Genomic DNA, 4,174 nt, shown 5'->3' with positions numbered 1-4,174 from the left:
TAGAACTTTTAATCATAAGCCTCAAAAAGTATTCAATCACTTGATGGTGGCACCCACAAACCCCACATGCTGTTGTCTGGCATAGTCAGTGCTCTTTGAAGAATACACTCACAATTCTCATTGTTTTATTGTACCCGTTATTCCTGGCTGGTCTCAGTTTTTATGAAGCCCAGAAGGAAAACCTGTCCTAAACCATCAACAGTTGCAAAGTTTAAAATGTAGATTCTGATAAATGCTGTTTTTATATGCGGTCTTCTCTCCTGCTGCCCATCGGGGATTGATTTGTCCCCCTTTCCCCCCTGATTTTAGAAAGTATTTGCTTTGGAAAGTGGTTATATGACTTATTGTCCAAGTAAAAAATAATTTATCTTTACATGGGTGCTGAATTTAAAAACTTAACATATGATTATGTATAACTTGATCTATTCTCAGGAAAGAGATGAACAGGTTAAGCAGTTTGTACTCACTGGGCTGTTGGTATTATACAAAGTAAGATGGGATGCTATTTATTTGCCTTCAATCCTTACTGGGGAAGCAAAACATCAATGCCTTGAAAAGGCTAGTTCACGAAGCACAAATACCAGGTGGTCTTACATCCCAGGGAAGGATGTAAAGCTAAAGGAGTGAGAGAAGAAAGTGGGCTGGATGGAGATGGTGAAAGAAATCTCCCCAGATGGGATGGGGCCCAGTTCGATTTGGAAGCCTAGGGAAGAATTTAGAAATGTGATAAGAAAGGAGGAAGGGGCGAGTTTAAGATGCCAGGGGACAGCACCAGCAATTCTGAGCTCATCAAGTTTGAAAGATGGAGAGGAGCCCTGCTTTGTGCATTTATAATCTAATTTGAGGACAGGCCACTGCGGTATTTTTCTTTTCCCTGGGATGCTTAAGAGAAATACGCTCCTCATTCCCAGGTGGGGCACAGCTTTTCCTCTGTTTTGCCAGCCTTAGCTGGTGAAGTGCTGTTGCAGTCGTAATGGCAGACTCTTCTCCAACAGGCACAGACCTATCTTGAAGGCGTAGCATCCTGTCACTTTTCACTTAGCATTTGCTTCAAATAGATGAAAAAAAAAAAGTTCTAGCAATTGGAAGTTTTGCAGTATCAACAAAACCTGTGTGAGAACTAGTCCTTACATGTAAAGTCTGCCCGTTAAAATCTGGTATCTCAGGTTCCCCCACTCCTCATCATAACCTGCTAATAAGGTATAATTTTGACATTATCAAGATTTGCACTTGTCTTTATTTATTTATTTGTGAACAGTTTCGAGCTAGGTGCCATGAGAAATAAAATGTTCTACCAGTCATGGTCCCTACCCTGAAATTTTGAAAAAAAAATTTTTTTTGGCCTGTCTCAGAGCTTGAAAGTCTGACAAACTCTGAAAAACCATCCTTTGAAAGTGAAAACAAAGCGGGTTACGTCAGATTCTGTTTTGAGGCATGGTTTCCTAATTATCTCGTAGGACTCAAAAACCTTTTAGAAGAAAAACCTAATTTTGGAAATAAACTTCTTTCCAAGAGTGAAAACGTGCCACACGGCTGAGTGCTGTTATTATAACTGAGAAGGAGAATTTGCAGGCTGCGCATGAGGCCAGCAGCCACAGCACCTTCTGTACTTGTTTTTCACTTGTGTGCTCACAGAACACTCCCAAACTCACCTTCTTCCAGCTCTTGGTATTAATGGCATGGTCTCCAACCTTCACAACCAAATATGACACACAATGGCTTGCTATAATAAAACTCCAAGCCCTTTAAGCCAACAAAGCTCTTCACATTCACATCAAGTCTTCAACAAGATTTTTCAAAACTTCCTCTTTGGGTACCATTTTCAGGGCCAAATACACTATTTGTTGTTGTCTGTGCATAGCACCTATTAAGTAGTGACTCCAGCATTTATCTATTTGTCTACTCTCATTTGACACTGTGTGCTGTACTTCCATATTTCCAACAGACTGGTGGGATGAAGGCACCTAAATTCAGTAAGTTCAAAGCCAAGCTAATTAATTTTCTCCCTAAATTACTTAAATCACCGACGTCAGCTAATTACCTCACGAGTCATCCTGATGCTCAAACCAGGCACCTCAAACTCTTCCACAAGCTCTTCTCTTTTGCTCCTGTCCTCCATCCTCCTCAGGGCCTCCATTCCCACAGAGCCTCTGCTTCATTTCAGACTCACTTAATTTCTCACTGGATTAGCACCAGACACCTTGTTTTTTCCCCCTGCTATTTCTAACCTAGTGTTTGCATGGCTTCAAGTAAAATATCTTCCCAAAACATAAAATTGTTCATTATAGTATCTTTTCAAAAACCGTTTACCCAAAGAAAAATATTCTTGAGATGAATTATGTCCTCCTTTGTAATCTGGCACTAACCTACTTTATTTTTGCTCTAGATACATAGAACTTATTAGTCCCTTCCCAGATCTATTATTCTTTGTTAAGTCTTTTTGTTTATCCTCATTTTTACTTGAAATTCCTCTCCACCTATATCTACATGTTAAAACACTCTTTTTAAAGACAGTTCAAATGCCACCACATCAATAACTCATTCCTGATTTGGCCCTTTCAACTCTCATTACTCTTTATCTCTGTCTCTCTTCTGGTGAATATCAAACTTACCTAATAGCATAATTTAATAGAAGAAAGTTTGAAATGGTCATCACAAGTTTAGGTTCAAGTCTTGAGCTTTTCCTTATCTGTGATCTTGGGCAGGATATTTAATTCTTTCTCAGTCATTAAGAAGTGGATACGATTCCTTACTTTTGAGGGATAATTTACTTTTATTAAATTATGAAGTGCTACAAATGTGATTTGTTAGTATTCGAGGGACCAGAAAATGGTTATAAGACTAAGGCCATGCTTGAAGGTTCTATGGGGCAGATCCCTTGAAATCAAAACTTATGGTTGAAGAGGCCAGGAGTGGATTTATGTACAATGAACACAATTAGCAGAGAGCAGTCCAAAGTGTCTTTGAATTGACAGTGTCTATCTCTAAGTTCATAGAAGTCTACTTGCTACCATTGTGTAAATAAAAATGCATGTTTTTTGCTTTTGTTTTTTTTTTTTGGAAATGGGCAAATTTGGGTTTAAATGCTGAGCAAACCCTCACTAGCCATGTAGCATGGAGTGAGTTATCTAACCCCTGGGAACCTCAGCTCCTCACCTGTAAAAACAATTTACTGGTAAAAATTTGCAAAAGCCCACTATGAAAGGCACCAATGCTGTGAAGCATCATTCCTTTTAGATGGCAAAGTTACAGAAAATTCCAAAGTAAAGGATGTTGATTTTTTGTAAGAAATGGAAAAGGACCTCAGTCTCCATGGTGTCCTGAGGAAGTGTTTTCAGCTGTTAGTCCAATCATAGAACTGGGGTTTCTACTACTGGAGGAATTTCAGGCAGCACTCTTCTCATCTCTGAAGCTGAACACGGGAAGAGTAGAGTGTTGATAAAGAGTGGATGCTTTCAGAAAATCTGCAGTCTGTGAGGAGAGTCCAAGAGTTTTCAGGAAGGGTTGGAAGACTCATGAGATGGACATGTAGATGGAGTAGTTTTCTTTCTTTTTTTGAGACAGGGTCTGGCCCTGCCACCCAGGCTGAAGTGCAGTGGTGCAGTCTCAGCTCACTGCAGCCTCAACCTCTTGGGCTCAAGCTATCCTCCTGCCTAAGCCTCCCAAAGATGTGAGCCACTGTACCCAACTTGATTTTCTTCTTCCTTCTTATTTTTAACTGCACTCTTGGTACTTGGACTTAGGATAATCATAGCCTCATGGGCACTCCAAGTGGTGTTGTTTGTTCCATTTTCGTTGAATAAAAGCTACACACACATTTTCTTTAATGCCTTCTCTTCTCTTCTCTCCTCTCCTCTCCTCTCCTCTCCTTTCTTCTCTTCTCTTCTCTTCTCTTTTCTTCTCTTCTCTTCTCTCTTCTCTTCTCTTGCCAGGTTTTTGATACCTGATATAATTGCTAGAGGACATGGTATACTTTAAATTTTTTTTTTCCAAATCATCTCCTCTACTTTTTATGGAATAGTAAAACTAATTTATATTATAATCACATGAAGGAGGGTGGGAGGACTTTAAGTTGCTTTTGGTTCTCGGCCTTTGACTTGTTGGTAAATCAAATACATAAGTGTTGTTGTGAGAGCTAAATACATAAGGTACATAAAGTAAACATTTTATATAT

The sequence above is a fragment of the Homo sapiens genome, chromosome 5, assembly GCF_000001405.40.
Source record: "Homo sapiens chromosome 5, GRCh38.p14 Primary Assembly".
Taxonomy (NCBI): Eukaryota; Metazoa; Chordata; class Mammalia; order Primates; family Hominidae; genus Homo; species Homo sapiens.
Note: the sequence above shows the minus strand (reverse complement) of the source record.